Below are 18,582 nucleotides of genomic sequence, written 5' to 3'. Positions count from 1 at the left end.
GCAAGTATTTGTTTTTAAGTGGTGTGTTGGGTATTTTTATAGTTGGTTGGGGTAAAGGGTGAAGGCTCCTATAGAGAGAAATAGGACAAGGAAAGTGGATAAGCTCTGTGAAGGTAATTCAGTGGGTTTAGGCTAGGCTGACACCAACCAGAGAAAACCAGTGCAAGTGGGGATATTTTAGGCACAGCTGTGGGAAGCTGAGTGGCTAAGTGGGTTGGTGGGTGGGTATGGGAAATGCTGAACCATTGTCTGAGTCCAGAAAGAAGGATCTTAAAGGAATAGCACAATGAGATTCACCTTATGAGCTTGACAATTACTTAAGGACTAGAAGAGCCCTTTGCAGGTAATCTCTTTGCTATTTCATGACTACACAAGGCTGAATGCAAATATGATTCTGCCCCTTGTGTAATCCAAAAAGATCCATAAAGACCATAAATATTAAATAATACTTGTACTAAGACACATCAGTCTAAATTAGAATGCTTGTTTGTTTTAACGTCAAGAAGAAAAAAAATGTTAGATACGATGTAATTACTTTGGCCATCTTATTATAGGAAATTATTAGAATCAGTTTTACTCATAAAATTAACAATTAAGCTTAATAGGAGGGAAAAAAATCCACTCGTTATTATTTTTTTTTTTTCAAAGAGCACTCACAAGTAAAAAGCATCCCAGGAGGACCTGATGTATTTTGAGCTTTTATGGGGCTCTACATTTTACCACTTCTTTTGTGTGTCTAGTAAGTGTGACTGTAACACTGCGGCATTTCAGCCTTATTTTTTGAACTCTGGAAGTTTAAACTATTACCCAATGTATGTTGCACATGCTGTGGTTGCCGCCTTCAAATTCATTTAGGCTTCCATCCTCACTCCCTACCCTCCACAAATTGTATAGCATTTCCACGATTTGGTTGGGATTGTCACAGTAGGTCGCTAGTCAGATATTAACAGGGCAGGAGAAGGCACCCCTCCACCAGAAATGCCAGGTGACCATCAGGTGATGGTTAGGCAGTTGTTAAGCTGCCTCTCTAAAATAATAATTGGCCACAGCCGGAGCAAGAGAAAGGCAGTCTCCCATTGGATAGAAACACCTGAAACTGGAGATCAGCAGCTTCCTAATAAGATCTCAGGAGTTGAGCAAATGGGCTCACACGTGCACACTAAGAAGCAAAACGGCAGAGTTTAACTGGTATATGACCTTCCTCTAGGGATGTTGGACTGGTAAGGGAAGAACGCCTCGAGTGAGCATGCGCACAACTGCAGCAAACACGCCACGCACGGCCACTCCCAAGCATCAGTGGGCCCCCACACATGCAGACAGCCCACCCCAAGGGAAGAATCAGGGGAGAAGGGATGCAAGACCCTGGAAGTATGCCAACATGTAAAACTCCAAGTCAAACGTCAAAATGTGCTCTTGATCGCTCAAGTTTCCCTCTTGGCCCTCTTCCAGTGTACTTTACTCCTTTTTCATTCCTGTTCTAAAGCTTTTTAATAAATTTTCACTCCTGCTCTAAAACTTGCCTGTGTCTTTCCTCTGTCTTATGCCCCTCGGTGGAACTCTTTCTTCTGAGAAGGCAAGAATGGAGGTTGCTGCAGACCCATAAGAATTCACTGCCTACAGTAACATACTTAGGTGCTGCATGACTCAGATACTCTCCATTGCTAACAGAATTGGACCCTCAACCCAATTCCTAGGGCCATGCCATTTTTCTTGCTGTAATTGGGCTCAGAACCACACCTATCACCGCACGGCATTGCTAATCCATGAGATTGGTTCACAGATAGACATGGATGTAAGTTTGTCCAGTAAGAATTCTGTCACAAAAGGGTACATTTCAATGGATAATTGTGGTAAGAGACCTATTCTCCCCAACTCTGATGTAAAACAGGAAGCATCCAGCTTTCTTAAGGTCAGGTACTCATCTGCTAGGCTGCTACAATAAGCAGCCTAGGGATAAAATCAATTGATAGGAAGACAGAGCCTTCAAAGTCATTGAGAAACAGCAAAATAACTTTGATGGCATTGCAAACTTTTCCATCAGTTCATGTTCCAAGCCTGCTCTGCATGTAGACTTTCAGTTGTATAAGTCAATAAATTCCTGTATCATTTGAGCCAGTTTGAATTGGGTCTTCGATTACTAGCACACACACACATCTACACACAAACTTTAATGCTTCTACTTCTCCATTTTTCTCCCTACAGCTGTTCTCATTAAATCAATAATCCTGTGTTCATAAAATATTTATTGAACATCTACTATGTACAAGATACTCTACCAGATATGTTGAGGATATAAAGATGGACAAGCCACGGCTGGGGAATTTGTAGAAGTATGAACTTAGAAAGAAAATGAAAAATACATGTAAAAATAACTAAGATGCAAAATAGAAAATAAAATAGAAGAAAGATAAAGAAAAGTTCTTAAAGAGAGCATGAAAAAATTGCTTCATGAATCTTTATTTTTCCAGACCTAGAAAGTAAAAAATGTGCAATCTCACCTGGGCATTTATGGACCATGTGATATATTAAATTATATTTATTCCAGGGAAGGAAGTGTTTATATATGTATACTGTATCTGTGCTTTGAAAAAATTGGTTATCCAAGTATATAGAAATCCTATAACTGATTTTTTCTGGAGAGATATATCCAAATATGAGTTGTTAATAGGATCCTACACTAACCTGCAGATTTACTAATTCTGTATCATAGTATACTGATTCCATACCATGCTCAGTCTCTAATTTTGTAGTTTTAAAGGATGTGGAAGAAAAATTCCTTCAGAAGCAGTATGTTTGGAATATATTCCAGATTCGATTTATAATTTTGTTTCACAGTACATAGGCTTGTTTTTCTTTTTAGCAGGTTATATTTATTTATTTATTTGTTTTTGAGTTAGAGTCTTGCTCTGTCACCCAGGCTGGAGTGCAATGGCACAATCTTGGCTCACTGCAACCTCCATCTCCCAGGTTCAACAGATTCTCCTGCCTCAGCCTTCTGAGCAGCTGAGACTACAGGCATGTGCCAGCATGCCTAATTTTTGTATTTTTAGTAGAGACGGGGTTTCGCCATGTTGACCAGGCTGGTCTCAAAATCCTGGCCTCAAGTGGTTCATCTGCCCCAGCCTCCCCAAGTGCTGGAATTACAGGCATGAGCCACCATGCCCAGCCATTAGCAGGTATTTTTTGTAGCAACTCATGTCTATCATGTTGAAAGGTGATGGTGTCGCTCTCCATTTATATTACATGCTTTAGAAATTATATAAAGCCCACCCAATAAGAAATATTTATTGAGCACTTGTTATGTGCTAGACAAGATTCTAAATGCTTTCTCGATTTTTTAATAATATGATAATGTTACAAAGTCAGAATTATTTCCTCATTTCACAGTGGAGAAGATGAAGTCACAGAGAGATGGCGCTGTAAATCACCAAAGGGTGCAATCTGATGGAGATTTTCAACTTTGGCTCTGTTGACCATACGGTTTTGCTTCACTAAAGTTAAAATATGCAGACATAAAAAAGAATGAGTTCATGTCCTTTTCAGGAACGTGGATGAAGCCGGAAACCATCATCCTCAGCAAACTAACACAGGAACACAGGAACAGAAAACCAAACATTGCATGTTCTCACTCATAAGTGGGAGCTGAACAATGAGAACACATGGACACAGGGAGGGGAACATCACACACCGGGGCCTGCTGGGGGGTGAGGGACAAGGGGAGGGAGAGCATTAGGACAAATACCTAATGCATGCTGGGCTTGAAACCCAGATGATGGGTTGATATGTGCAGCAAACCACCACAGCACATGTATACCTATGTAGCAATCCTGCACGTTCTGCACGTGTATCCCAGAACTTAAAGTAAAATAAATAAATAAATAAAAGAATGTATAAAAAATCATTTGTAATGCTAATTAACTTTACAATTTTTATCTGTTATGAGAGCAACACTCTCATAACATAATAAATTTCTGGCTGTAAAGGTCTGAAAATGTCCGTTTATCACATTAAGCCTCATCCTGCAAACATCTCAAGATATAGACAGGCAGCTGTGATGCTGGAAAGAGAAAGGAATGCAGGACTCAGGGCACCTGGAGTTCAAGCTAGACTCTGCTGCTTTCTAGCTATGTGGCTTTGGGAGAGTCAGGCAGATTCAGTTTCCTATTTACGAACTGCAGTAAGTGTCACTCTCAGAATGTGTATGAGAATTAAATATTACGATGCACATGAAAATACATTGTAGACTGTAAAGTGCTATGCCAAGCTATTTGCTACACAATCTTCAGCTTTCTGCTATAAATTCTGGTTGTGGCTTTTCCCCGCTGACCTTAGGACCACATTCCCTAACAGCTTGGCCTGCCAGGGAGCTGGATCTAACAAAGGCAGGCTCCGATCCCATTGTGAGCATTTGGTTAAGACTTAGAAAGAGTAAAAAGTGACTGCCATAGTTTCTGTTTTCATGGCTTACCAATTCTGCCATTTTGAAAACTTCTTTCTTTTTTTTTTTCCGGTAGAGATGGGGTTTCCCCATATTGGCCAGGCTGGTCTTGAACTACGTGGCCTCAAGTGATCTGCCTGCCTCGGCCTCCCAAAGTGCTGAGATTACAGGAGTCAGCCACTGTGCCCAGCCTCAACCCATTTTGATGTCTCAGTAGGCTGGAGGCTTTTGATCCTGTTACACAGGAAAGGGAAGAATCAGCAGGTGCTGAAGATGCTCAGGGCCTGCCATGTACATGACTTTTCCCCATGCCCAGATGAGGTTTCTATCCCATCAGAAGGGCTCCAGGCGGGAGAAAGTACTGCTCTTCCAACTTAACTTGAAAGCTGCAGCTCAGATCGAGTGTTTTCTGGGCCATATGCTGAGCCTCTGTCAGCAGAAGGGGAAATTGAGGTAATCCTCAGCAAGCTATTCTCATTGTCATGGGTGAATTATATCGCAACAAAATGAGAAAGCAAGAGAAGCCACTAAATAATCTCTGAGCCACAAAGCGCTAAAATTCCACATTGAGTAGCAGCGATTAATTTGCTTGGACTAATTTCTTCCACATCTAATTAGCTCTGGCATCTTTCATAATATTTATAAATATTAGGCAGAGCCCACCTGAAAGAGAGAGATAAACATCCCGCTCCATTCATGCATAAGAGCCTGTTTTCTTAACATGAAGAGGAGAAAGGAAAAAATAAAATATAATTGGACGCTTTCAGCCACAGCCAACCTAATCAAATCTTTCTTAAATTCTAACAGGTCTTTTGCTATTAGTAGGTTATAACGAAGGAGTTTTTGAAATAACTTATTTCTGAGTGTGCCTGGTAACACCCATTCATTACTCACTAACACCTGGAACAAAAACTCCTCCCACCCTTATTGTCATTGTGTGCCCATCTCAGCTCATTTGTCTCATTGTCAGAGAAAACAAATGAGGAACCTCACGTTTTCTAAGCATGGGTTCACGATTAATTTGGTAGGAACTGGCAGAGGGTTTACTCAAGTTGATTACTTTTAATCAACTTGAATTGTCCTAATAAGTCTAAAGTAAAAAACAAAAAGTTTTATTTATTTATAATTGTTCTAATAAGTCTGAAGTAAAATAAAGTACTAACACAGAGATATAGTTATTCCATAAAATGTTGGTATCCCAGAAATTAGCTGGGTGTGGTGGTGCATGCCTGTAGTCTCAGCTACAGCTAATGTGGGGAGACAGAGGTAGCAGTGAGCTGAGACTGTGCCATTGCAATCCAGCCTGGAAACAGCAAGACTCTGTCTCAAAAAAAAAAAAAAAAAAGTGACATTCCCCCACAAAAACCCCATCCAAAGGTCAGTAGCCTTAAAGACAAAAGATAGAGAAAGTCATGAAGATGAGAAAGAATCAACGAAAAAATGCAGAAAACTCAAAAACCCAGAGTGCCTCTTTTCCTCCAAATGATCACAACACCTCTCTAGCAAGGGCACAGAACTGGGCTGAGGCTGAGATGGATGAACTGACAGAAGTCGGTTTCAGAAGGTGGGTAATAATGGACTTTGTTGAGCTAAAGGAGCATGTTCTAACCCAATGCAAAGAAGCTAAGAACCATGATAAAACATTACAGGAGGCGTTAACCAGAATAACCAGGTTTGAGGCAAGCATAAATAACCTGATGGTGCAGAAAAAACACAACACAAGAATGTCACAATGCAATCGCAAATATCAATAGCCAAACTGACCAAGCAGAGTAAAGAATTTCAGAGCGTAAAGACTATCTTGCTGAAATAAGACAGGCAGACATGATGAGAGAAAAAAGAATAAAAAGGAATGAACAAAACCTCAGAGAACTATGTGATTATGCAAAAAGACCGAACCCATGACTGATTGGGGTACCTGAAAGAGATGAGGAAAATGGAACCAGGTTGGAAAACATACTTCACGATATCATCCAGGAGAACTTCCCGAACCTAGCAAGACAGACCAACATTCAAATTCAACATTCAAATTCAGGAAATCAAGAGAACCTCAGTAAGATACTCCAGAAGAAGACCAACCCCAAGACACATAATCAGATTCTCCAAGGTCAAAATGAAGGAAAAAAATGTTAAGGGCAGTCAGAGAGAAAGGCCAGGTCATCTACAAAGAGAAGCCCATCAGACTAACAGCAGACCTCTCAGCAGAAACCCTGCAAGCCAAAAGATATCGGGAGGCCAATATTTAACATTCTTAAAGACAATAATTTCCAACCCAGAATTTCATATCTGGCCAAATTAAGCTTCATAAGCAAAAGAGAAATATTAATAAAATCCTTTTCAGGCAAGCAAATGCTGAGGGAATTCATCACCACCAGGCCTGCCTTCCAAGTGCTCCTGAAGGAAGAACTAAATATGGAAAGGAAAAACTGTTACCAGCCACTACAAAAACACACTGAAGTACAAAGACCAATGACACTATGAAGCAACTACATCAACAAGTCTGCAAAAGAACCAGCTAGCATCATGATGACAGGATCACATTCACATATAACAATATTAACTTTAAATATAAATCAGCTAAATGCCCCAGTTAAAAGACACAGAATGGCAAGATGGATACAGAGTCAAGACCCATCGGTGTGCTGCATTCAAGAGATCCATCTCACATCGAAAGATACACATAGCCTCAAAATAAAGTATGGAGGGAAATTTACCAAGCAAATGGAAGGCAGACAAAAGCAGGGGTTGCAATCCTAGTTTCTGGCAAAACACACTTTAAACCAACAAAGATCAAAAAAGACAAAGAAGGGCATTACATAATGGTAAAGGGGTCAATTCAACAAGAAGAGCTAACTTTCTAAATATATATGTACCCAATACAGGAGCTCCCAGATTCATAAAACAAGTTCTTAGAGACCTACAAAGAGACTTTTACTTCCACACAATAATAGTGGAAGACTTTAACACCCAACTGTCAATATTACACAGATCATTGAGACAGAAAATAAACAAGGATATTCAGGACTTGAACTTAGCTCTGGATCAACTGGACCTGATAGATATCTGTAGAACTGTACGCTGCAAAACAAAAGAATATACATTCTTCTTGGCACCACATGGTACTAACTCTAAAATTGATCACATAATTGGAAGTAAAACACTCTTCAGCAAATGCAAAAGAAACAAACAGTCTCTCAGACAACAGCACAATCAAACTAGAACTCAAGATTAAGAAACTTACTCAAAACCACACAACTACATGGAAATTGAACAACCTGCTTCTGAATGATTCCTGGGTAAATAATTAAATTAAGGTAGAAATGAAGTTATTTGAAACCAATGAGAACAAAGGGACAATGTACCAGAATCTCTGGGACACAGCTAAAGCAGTGTTAAGAGGGAAATTTGTAGCACTAAATCCCCACATCGAAAAGCTCAAAAGATCTCAAATTGACATCCTAACATCAAACTAAAAGAACTAGAGAACCAAGAGGAAAAAAAACCCAAAGCTAGCAGAAGACAAGAAATAACCAAGATCAAGGTGGAATTGAAGGAGACAGAGGCACGAAAAACTCTTCAAAAGATCAACGAATCCAGCAGGTGTTTTTTGAAAAAAATAATAAAATAGACCACTAGCTAGACTAATAAAGAAGAAAAGAGAGAAGAATTAAATAGACACAATAAAAATGATGAAGGGGATATCACAACTGAACCCACAGAAATACAAACAATCATCAGAGAATAGTGTAAATACCTCTATGCAAATAAACTAGAAAATCTAGAAGAAATAGATAAATTCCTGGACACATACACCCTGCCAAGACGGAACCAGAAAGAAGTTGAATCCCTGAATAGACCAATAACAAGTTCTGAAATTGAGGCAGTAATAAATAGTCTACCAACAAATAAAAGCCCACGACCAGTTGAATTTACTACTGAATTCTACCAGAGGTACAAAGAGAAGCTGGTACCATTCCTTCTGAAATTATTCCAAACAATTAACAAGGCAGGACTCCTCCCTAACTCATTTAATGGGGCCAGCATCATCCTGATACCAAAACCTGGTAGAGATACAACAACAAAAAAGAAAACATCAGACAAATATCCCTGATGAACATTAGTGTAAAAATTCTCAACAAAATACTGGCAAACTGAATCCAGCAGCATATCAAAAAGCTTATCTACCATGATCAAGGTGGCTTCAACCCCGGGATGCAAGGCTGGTTCAACATATGCAAATCAATAAGCATAATTCATCACATAAACAGAACTAAAGACAAAAATCACATAATCATGGATTGTCTCAATAGATGCAGAAAAGGCCTTCAATAAAATACCACATCCCTTCCTGTTAAAACCTCTCAATAAACTAGGTATTGATGGAACGTATCTCAAAATAATAAAAGCCATTTATGACAAACTCACAGCCAATATCATACTGAATGGGCAAAAGCTGGAAGCATTCCCTTTGAAAACCAGCATAAGACAAGGATGTCCTCTTTCATCACTCCTATTCAACATAGAATTGGAAGTTCTGGCCAGGGCAATCAGAGAAGAGAAAGAAATAAAGGGTATCCAAATAGCAAGAATTACAGATTACATAATCCTATATCTATAAAACCCTATCATCTCAGCCCAAAAGCTTCTTAAGCTGAAATGCAACTTTAGCAAAGTCTCAGGATACAAAATCAATGTACAAAAATCACAAGCATTCCTATACAACAACAATATACGAGCAGAGAGCCAAATCATGAATGGACTCCCATTCACAATTGCTACAAAGAGAATACAATACCTAGGGATACAGCTAACAAGGGAAATGAAGGCCCTCTTCAAGGAGAACTACAAACCTCTCCTCAAGGAAAGCAGAGAGGACACAAACAAATGGTAAGACATTCCAGGCTCATGGATAGGAAGAATCAATATTGTGAAAATGGCCATACTGCGCAAAGTAATTTATAAATTCACTGCTATTCCCATTAAATGACTACTGACATTCTTCACAGAATTAGAAAAAACTACCTTAAAATTCATATGGAAACAAAAAAGAGCCAATATACCCAAGACAATCCTAAGATAAAAGCACAAAACTGGAAGCATCATGCTACCTGGCTTCAAACTGTACTACAAGGCTACAGTAACCAAAACAGCATGGTACTAGTACAAAAACAGAAACATAGACCAATGGAACAGAATCTAGAACTCAGAAGTAAGACCACAGATCTACAACCAATTGATCTTTGACAAACCTGACAAAAAACTAGCAATGAGGAAAGGATTCCCTATTTAATAAATGGTGCTGGGATAACTGGCTAGCATATGCAGAAAAATTGAAACTGGACCCCTTTTATACACATTACATAAAAATTAATTCAAGATGGATTAAAGACTTAAATGTAAAACCCAAAACTATAAAAACCCTAGAAGAAAATTTAGGCAATACTATTCAGGATATAGGCATGGGCAAAGATTTCATGATGAAAATGTCAACAGCAGTTGCCACAAAAGCAAACATTGACAAATGGGATCTAATTATACTAAAGAGCTTCTGCACAGCAAAAGAAAGTATCATCAGAGTGGACCGACAACCTACAGAATGGGAGAAAATTTTTGCAACTATTCATCTGACAAATGTCTAACATCCAGAATGTACAAGGGACTTAAACAAATTTACAAAAATAAACCCCAAACAACCCCATTAAAAAGTGGGCAAAGGACATGAACAAACACTTCTCGAAAGAAGATACTTATGCAGCCAACAAACATATACTTTTAAAAAGCTCAACATCACTGATCATTAGAAAAATGCAAATCAAAACCACAATGAGATACCATCTCACAGCAGTCAGAATGGAGATTATTAAAAAGTCAAGAAACTACAGATGCTGTGAGACTGGAGAAACGGGAATGCTTTTACACTGCTGGTGGGAATGTAAATTAGTTCAACCATTATGGAAGACAGTGTGATGATTCCTCGAAGACCTAGAACCAGAAATACCATTTTACCCAGCAATCCCATTACTGGGTATATACCCAAAGGAATATAAATCATTCTATTATAAAGATACGGGCTCACATATGTTCATTGCAGCACTATTCACAATAGCAAAGATATGGAGTCAACCCAAATGCCTATCAATGATAGACTAGAAAAAAAAATGTGGTACATATACACCATGGGATACTATGCAGCCACAAAACAGAATGAGATCATGTTCTTGGCAGGGACATGGATGGAGCTGGAAGCCATTATCCTTAGCAAACTAACTCAAGAACAGAAAACCAAACACTGAATGTTCTCACTTATAAGTGGAAGCTGAACAATGAGAACACATGAACTCAGGGAGGGGAACAACACACACTGGGTCCTGTCAGGGGAGAGGGAGAGCATCAGGAAAAACAGCTAACGCATGCCAGGCTTAATACGCAGGTGATGGGTTGATAGGTGCAGCAAACCACTATAGCACATGTTTACCTATGTAACAAACCTGCATATCCTGCACATGTACCCCGGAACTAAAATAAAATAATACAATAAAACAGTGACATTTGTATGTTCCAGTTTAGAAGACATTATAAATGTAAACAAGATAACAGGATCCAATACTTTTCCCTGATTCAAGATAATGGGGAGAACACATTTGGCTGCATTATTCAAACTTAAAGGAATCATTAAGTCAATTTCAAATCATGTCATTCCAGGCATCAGAAAGATAAGAATTTTATATTAAAAAACTTGTAGGTTAAAAAATATGTCCAAATTCTCATATTCACTCCATCGCTTTATCTTAGTCATGACTGTCCCATCAATTTCGCCTAAATATCTCTAGGCTACTTTGTCCTGCCCATCCTGAATCTGCCATGTGGCAAAGGCCCTCATCACTCTAGTACTGTACCAGGCTCTGAACTGCATTTCCTGACTCCAGACTGATGTCACGTGGTATAAGTTGCCTGACTCAAAACCTTTACTACTTTCCCACAGCTTTTAGAATCTTGTCCCTATGAGGTGGTTTTACATACAGGCATCTTGTTATCTGGCTTCTCGCTGGCACAGCTAGTTTCATCTCAATTCCTCCTTGACTCACAAACCCTCTACTCTTATTCAAAGCCCCTTCCCCCAAGAAACATACTCTCATACTTCAAGGGCTTTCCACGACATCTGTTTTCATTGGCTGGAAGATGGCTTCACTTCTTATCAATCTTGCTAACTCATCTTTACTTTTAAGGATACAGACCAATTATCATTTATCTCTGGAAGCCTTTCTTTGTACCTGTGCTTTAGACATGCCATCTTTGGTCTCATGGAACCCAGCAAACTCTTATGACAGTGCTTAATAACATAGTACTGCCCTTGCCAGTTTCTTTATCAATCTTTGCAAGCTATATGCTTTTAGAAGATAGGATCTATACCTGTTTACTCTTGTACACTGCAATTAGCACAAGCTTGTCCATCAATATTTACTGAAAATATGCATTACCATCACAGTAACAGTAGTTAACATTTGGACAACATGTTACGGTTAACAAAGCACTTTTTTGGAGTACATATATTATCTCATTTAATAATTAAAATAATCACTTACAATTTTAGCATGCATCAGAATCATCTGGAAAGTTTGTTAAAACACAGATTATTTATTCTTCTCCCCAGAGTTTCTGATTCATTAAGTCTGGGGTGGCCCAATAATTTCATTTCTAACACTCTCAAGTAATGCTGCCTCCGCTGGTCTGGGGTACACACTTTGAGAACCACTGCCTTAGAACATCCCTGTGAAAGGTTAAATGTTATTCCCAATTTACAGAGGAAATTGAAGCTCAGAGAGCAATGGCTTTGTAAGTAGTAAATTCACGGCCTCTGAACTGCTTGTCTGCTTGTCATTGTACAATGTGAATATTAGTGAAATGGTAAATTTATTTCAGTTCTTCATAAAAGGCAGTTTATATATTATCAAATTCTGTCCTTAGGAGATTATAATATGAAAACACAAATCATGTGCTCTTGTGTGGTTTTTATTGAAATTTTCATTTGAATTGGTAGTCAAGTTGCATAGAATTGCAAATGTAGGAAGGAAGCACATTTCAACATTATTTCAAAATTATTACAGTACAGTAGAAATAGCTTTAATTACTTGAGTAGAAATGCAGCAGATAAAAAGTGTTCTTCTTTTCCCTCTTTGTTCAAACAGGTTGATGGCATGATGTTATGGCTGAGATGATACTAAAAAAAAGTTTTTTTAAAAAAATGTCCTGAAGTTGGTGTTTTGAGCTTCTATTTCTCCTGCCTTTCCTTTTTTTCAAGCTGTTATGAAGTAATATTTCCCTGGAGCTGGATAGAAAAAAAAAAGGAAGAAGAAATAGAGAGGAAACTAAATAATTCAGAAACTGGGCAATTGAAAATGGCTGCAAGTCAATAGAAACCAGTCTTGTTTTAAGGTGAAGAAGGTGAAGGCATTAAATTTTTGCTGTGGAGTGTAGTCCTTCCAAGAAACAGGTTTTTGAAATTTTTCTCCTCTTTTCATAGGAAGTCTGAAAAATTTTTCCTTTCAAATGTATATTCTGGCCTCTTATTTCCAGTAAGATCTTATTCATGTTTTCTCTTTATCACTTGAAATATACATAAAAGCACACAAATAAACAAAAATGGGAATGTTGAAATTAGAAAGAATGAGCAATGAATTGCTGGGCTCTGGAAGGAAGGAATTTCTACCAACTGCAGAATCTGTGAGGGGCCAGGCTGAGAATCTATGAGGCTCTAAGACTCTCTTTGACCTCTTGGGAAAACAAGGAGGTTCTCTACTTGCTCAACTAAAACAGGAAATTTTTCAATGGCTTTCCATCAGATGGAGATAAAAAGTGTAAACTCTGAACATGTTGGCTACCGAGTAATCATTGAGTACCTTCTATTTGCTAGGCTTTGCACTAGGTTGTAGGCATCATATCCTATCAAACCATGTGTTTTCTGGCCTCTGAACTTACTCACTGGAGATGAGGTTACGCCATTCCCTAAATATACTAAGCTTATCCTTTTCTTAGTGACTTCATGTTTGCTCTTTCCGGTGACAGATATACTCTATCCAAATCTTAGACTATCTTGCGCTTTCATGGAATTGAGGTCTTAACTCAAATTATACCCTCTCAGAGATGTCTTAGTCAACAAGTCTAAGATAGGCCACTGCCATCATCTCTTCCCCATCTCTTTCGGACATATGCTTGCCCTAATTCTCTTTATTGCATTTTTTACTACCCAAACCTTATGCACACACACATGCACCCAGATACATACATGCACACGCATATAAATTATGTATATATATTTAAAATATATTTGTAAGTATAATAAAAGTACTTAAATATTATGTACATATATTAAAATAGATATATCAATAGAAATCTGAAAACCTGACCAAAATGAATGATTTTAAAGAGACATTATAAATCATAAAAAAGTAACAGAAACTGTGGAAATCCATGATAGTTCAATAATATTTATGATACTGAAAAATTCTTACCACATGCTTCAATCTAGGCTATTTGGCTGTTTGTTCTTTCCAAGTTTCAGGAAAAGGTAATCTTCATGCTATACATTTGGAAAATAAGCCAATATTTGCCTAGTAATAGAAGCTCAAAAAATCTTATGCACAGAAGAAAATCTGAAAACAGTGTCATTTATAGATGTGAACATCTTAACTAAATTACTGGCAATCTGAATATAAGAGTATATGGTGCTGCAGCATTTAGTGAACACTGCCTCTTCCCTCACTATACAGTTCTAATCATATAAGGAAAAGGCAAAAAATTTTATTTATTTATTTATTTTGAGACGGAGTCCCACTCTGTCACCCAGGCTGGAGTGCAGTGGCGCGATCTCGGCTCACTGCAAGCTCTACCTCCCGGGTTTACCCCATTCTCCTGCCTCAGCCTCCTGAGAAGCTGGGACTACAGGCGCCCGCCACCATGCCCGGTTAATTTTTTTGTATTGTTTTTTAGTAGAGATGGGGTTTCACCATGTTAGCCAGGATGGTCTCGATCTCCTGACCTCGGGATCTGCCCTCCTCAGCCTCCCAAAGTGCTGGGATTACAGGTGTGAGCCACTGCGCCCGACCAAAGGCAAATAAATTTGTATAAAAAGCAGAGGACCTTGTGGGAGAGAAGTAAAAATATAGCAGAAAATCGAATGTCCTAAGTTATCAACAGACTACCTCCAATAATATTTCCACCAAAGAGCACTGTACTTAAGAATTTCCTCAAACTCTTAGTGAATAAATAATCCTCATGTTATATAAGCTCTTCTAAACATATAAAATGAGTAAAATCAAAACTGTTTTCCTATTAATGAAGAGTCTCTTAAGATATTTTCTGGCCTCCATCAATTTACTGGTGAATTATCTCAAAAATGTTTAATAAACAGGTAATTCTCAGGTTATATGTACTCTTTTAAAAAGATGAAGGCTAACTGATAGGTTTCAAAAAGATATATATTGGTCGGCTCCAGTGGCTCACACCTGTAATCCCAGCACTTTGGGAGGCCGAGGCAGACAGATCACCTGAGGTCAGGAGTTCGACTTCAGCCCGGCCAACATGGCAAAACCCCTTCTCTACTAAAAATACAAAAATTAGCCGGGCATGGTGGTGTGCACCTGTAATACCAGCTACTCGGGAAGCTGAGGCAGGAGAATTGCTTGAACCCAGGAGGCAGAGGTTGCAGTGAGCTGAGATGTTGCCACTGCACTCCAGCCTAGGTGAGAGAGAGAGACTGCCTCAAAAAACAAAATACAAAAAAAAAAAAAAAAAAGCTATATATCTCTGTTGCATCAATCAAATATAACACATCTAGAAAGTCATAGATCAACCTGAAAGTTGATCTATGCAGTAGATAATCTCCTATAAAAGAGTCTAAAGAGCTGGTAGTAATATAATATTATATATATAGAGAGAGAGATTTAAGAGCAATTCCACTGTTTATGTATCTTTGTTGTTAGATGATTTAATGATCTCTGAAATCTTCACACCCTTGGACAAAATGAAAAATGATGGTCTTTAATGTGTAACACCTGTGAAGATGCGGCTGGAGGTGACAGAGATGTGGACTCTCTGGAATAAGAATAGGGTGGCATGGCTAACAATGGAAGAAAAATGAGTCTCCTAGGAACTATTTCATGTTGTAATAGTCTCATAAGTTTTAAGGACAATAGGACATTTACCACCTGGCCTGTGGACACTCTAGTTGGTTAGGGCAAGAGAAAAATTGGAAAAAAGAAAAAATGAAAAAAAAAGAAAAGAGCAAGAGATGATTGCTGATTGCTACCAAAGAAAGGTTGCCTTATCTTCTGCTTAGGGTTCAGCAGTTTCTGTCACAATAAATCCTGGTACCAAGTGATTTTGCCCCATCCCATCTACAGAGCAACAGGAATTTTCTGTTAAATTAAAAATGTATAGAATTTTCATTATTTCCTGTGCATTCTAACCACATTTTCCAGGAAACAAATGGACACTAAAATTCTAATTTTTAGGCAATGGATACGTAGCATGTATTGGTGGTGTTTGTAGCGATAAATATTTATTTATTATTTATTTTTTTGAGACGGAGTCTCGCTGTGTCACCGAGACTGGAGTGCTGGAGTGCAGTGGTGCCATCTCAGCTCACTCTATCCTCCGCCTCCTCGGTTCAAGTGGTTCTCTTGCCTCAACCTCCTGAGCTACTGGGACTACAGGTGCATGCCACCACACTTGACTAATTTTTATATTTTTAGTAGAGATGAGGTTTTGCCATGTTGGTCGGGCTGGTCTCGAACTTCTAACCTCAGGTGATCCACCCACCTTGGCCTCTCAAAGTGTTGGGATTACAGGTGTGAGTCACCGTGCCTGGCCAATATTTAGCTATTTTTGTAGCATGTTATATTTACATATGTAACATACACACAGATTGGTGCAAAATAATAAATGTATATCAGCATGGGATTTACATTCCATATTTATACTAAATAGAAGGGGTTTTAAAGTTTAGATTTTAAAATTTATTCAAGTAGTCCTCATATTGTACATTCCACAGTGTGTACTAGACATTTTATGCTAAAATATCTTTTAGAAAATCATTGTCTTATCCTGGCTAACATGGTGAAACCCTGTCTCTACTAAAAATAAAAATAAAAATAAAAAAATTAGCCAGGCGTGGTGGCGGGTGCCTGTAGTCCCAGCTACTTGGGAGGCTGAGGCAGGAGAATGGCGTGAACCCGGGAGGCGGAGCTTGCAGTGAGCCGAGATGGTGCCACTGCACTCCAGCCCGGGCAACAGAGCAAGACTCCATCTCAAAAAAAAAAAAAAAAATGATTGTTTTGTTGAGAAATAAAGATATTATAGTGACCAAAAATATTTATTGAAAGCTAGGTGCTATGTATTAAGAATCAGGATAGCAGCACAAAAGATAAACTCCCTGACTTCACGAAGTTTACATTTTATTGAAGGGAGTGTGTGTATGTGTTGAGAAAGACAATATGCAAAGATATAAGTAACTAGGTTGTTGGTGGAGTCAGGGGTGTTGTAGTGCCAGTGTGAGGACCAAGTTGGAAACAGCAGTGTGGTCAACTCTTTCAAGAAGTTTTATCATGAAATGAATAAGACGAATCTGTTGGAAGCTGGAATAGGAGTAGGGACAAGTGAGGGTTGTTTTGTGTTTTTCTTGTTTTAGGGTGGCCATGTGAATCTGCTTGTTGATAATTCAGCAGACAACTCAGTAGAGTGACTAGTGTCTGAAAAAGAGAGCAAGACCACAAAGAAAATTCTTGGGAAGAGAAGGAGGAATGGGTTTCCGAGTGTTGGAGGCAAAGGGTCTTTTCTGAGGGAAGACATGGATCACCACAACAGGTGAAGGCTGGCTGATGGGTTTGCTGATGGAACAACTTGGGAATTCTTTGACAATGAATCCCTTAAGAAAATTCATGGGTAAATAATTCGCAGAAATGTGGAGTGGGAGGATTGAGGGGATGAGAAGAAAGCATACATTTGGAGTAATTTTTAACTTCCAGAAAGCATTCAAACTAGAAACATGTAGTGAAACTTTAAGGCAGTGCTGAATGCCTATTTAAGGTTATAACTATGTGTGTGTGTGTGTGTTTGTGTGTGTGTGTGTGTGTGTGTGTGCACGTGCGAGGGAAGAGGGCATTATACTTTATTTTAATTATTTTATGCATATTGTTCAAAAATTCAAGTTGCACTAGAAGTCTTGAGCTCTGATGACGAAGAATTTGGATTTCTTTGTTTCTTCTAGTGTGAGCCTCCATTTTGATAAATAATAAACATGCGTGAGGTTCTTTATTTTATTGTTATAACCAAAAATTTTTCTGTATTATATAATCAGCAGTTTCTTATTCACTCACTGCCTCCAAGCAGCCTCTCTCTACCACCTGATATTATTAAATTCATATTCAGAAGTTATAACATTATTACTACATAAATAGTATGGTTTACTTCTGAGCCAATAGCGTTATGAGGATTAATGATCACTTATTTTTTAATTTTTTTCTGGAGTTAATTATCTAATTTATTTTCATTTGCTCAGTTCTCTAGGCTTTATGGCTAATTCCTAAACTCTCCAACAACTTCTCAACACAATTTTGTACTAAATTAAATTATTAGATAAACTATGAGTACCCTTTTCCTTTAGGAAAGGGAAACTTACAAATGTTTTAGAAGAAGACTTCCAAAACTCCCTGTCCCTTTGCTCCAACCTGAAAGGCTTGCTCTCAGGGTCTTCCCCTTAACAACCTGTAGGCTTTCTCTCGAACATCAGCCCTGGGTCCCAGATCCCAGGTCTTCCTCTTCCTCAGTTTCCTCCCTCATTTTGCTAGAGTACAGGATGCATGGGAGGTTAATTTCTAAAGATTGTTTGTTTCAAATACTATGTTCATAGTCCATTTTTAGTTTGGTTGGCTTTGGAACTCAGGTTCAAAAATTATTTAATCTAATGAACACAAATCTTCTAGCTTCTAGATAGCTTCTCCATTAACTTCTAGCTTCTAGAGAGCTTCTCCATTATCTTCCAGCTTCTAGATAACTCTATCATCTTCCAGTTTCTAAGAAGATCACTCCAGTATCTTCCAGCTTCCGGTGATTCTTTCAGTATTCATGAATCTTTTTATGTGGACAGT

The 18,582-nt window shown here is 38.4% G+C and overlaps 1 protein-coding gene across 8 annotated transcripts in view; it reads right to left on the bottom strand.

Annotated features, from left to right (window-relative positions):
* MALRD1 (MAM and LDL receptor class A domain containing 1) overlaps nt 1-18,582 on the bottom strand; it is a 687,552-nt gene that overhangs the window by 46,837 nt on the left and 622,133 nt on the right. The window lies entirely within an intron of this gene.

The sequence above is a fragment of the Homo sapiens genome, chromosome 10, assembly GCF_000001405.40.
Source record: "Homo sapiens chromosome 10, GRCh38.p14 Primary Assembly".
Taxonomy (NCBI): Eukaryota; Metazoa; Chordata; class Mammalia; order Primates; family Hominidae; genus Homo; species Homo sapiens.
The sequence above is the reverse complement of the archived record's forward strand: the minus strand, read 5'-3'. Positions and strand labels throughout refer to the sequence as shown.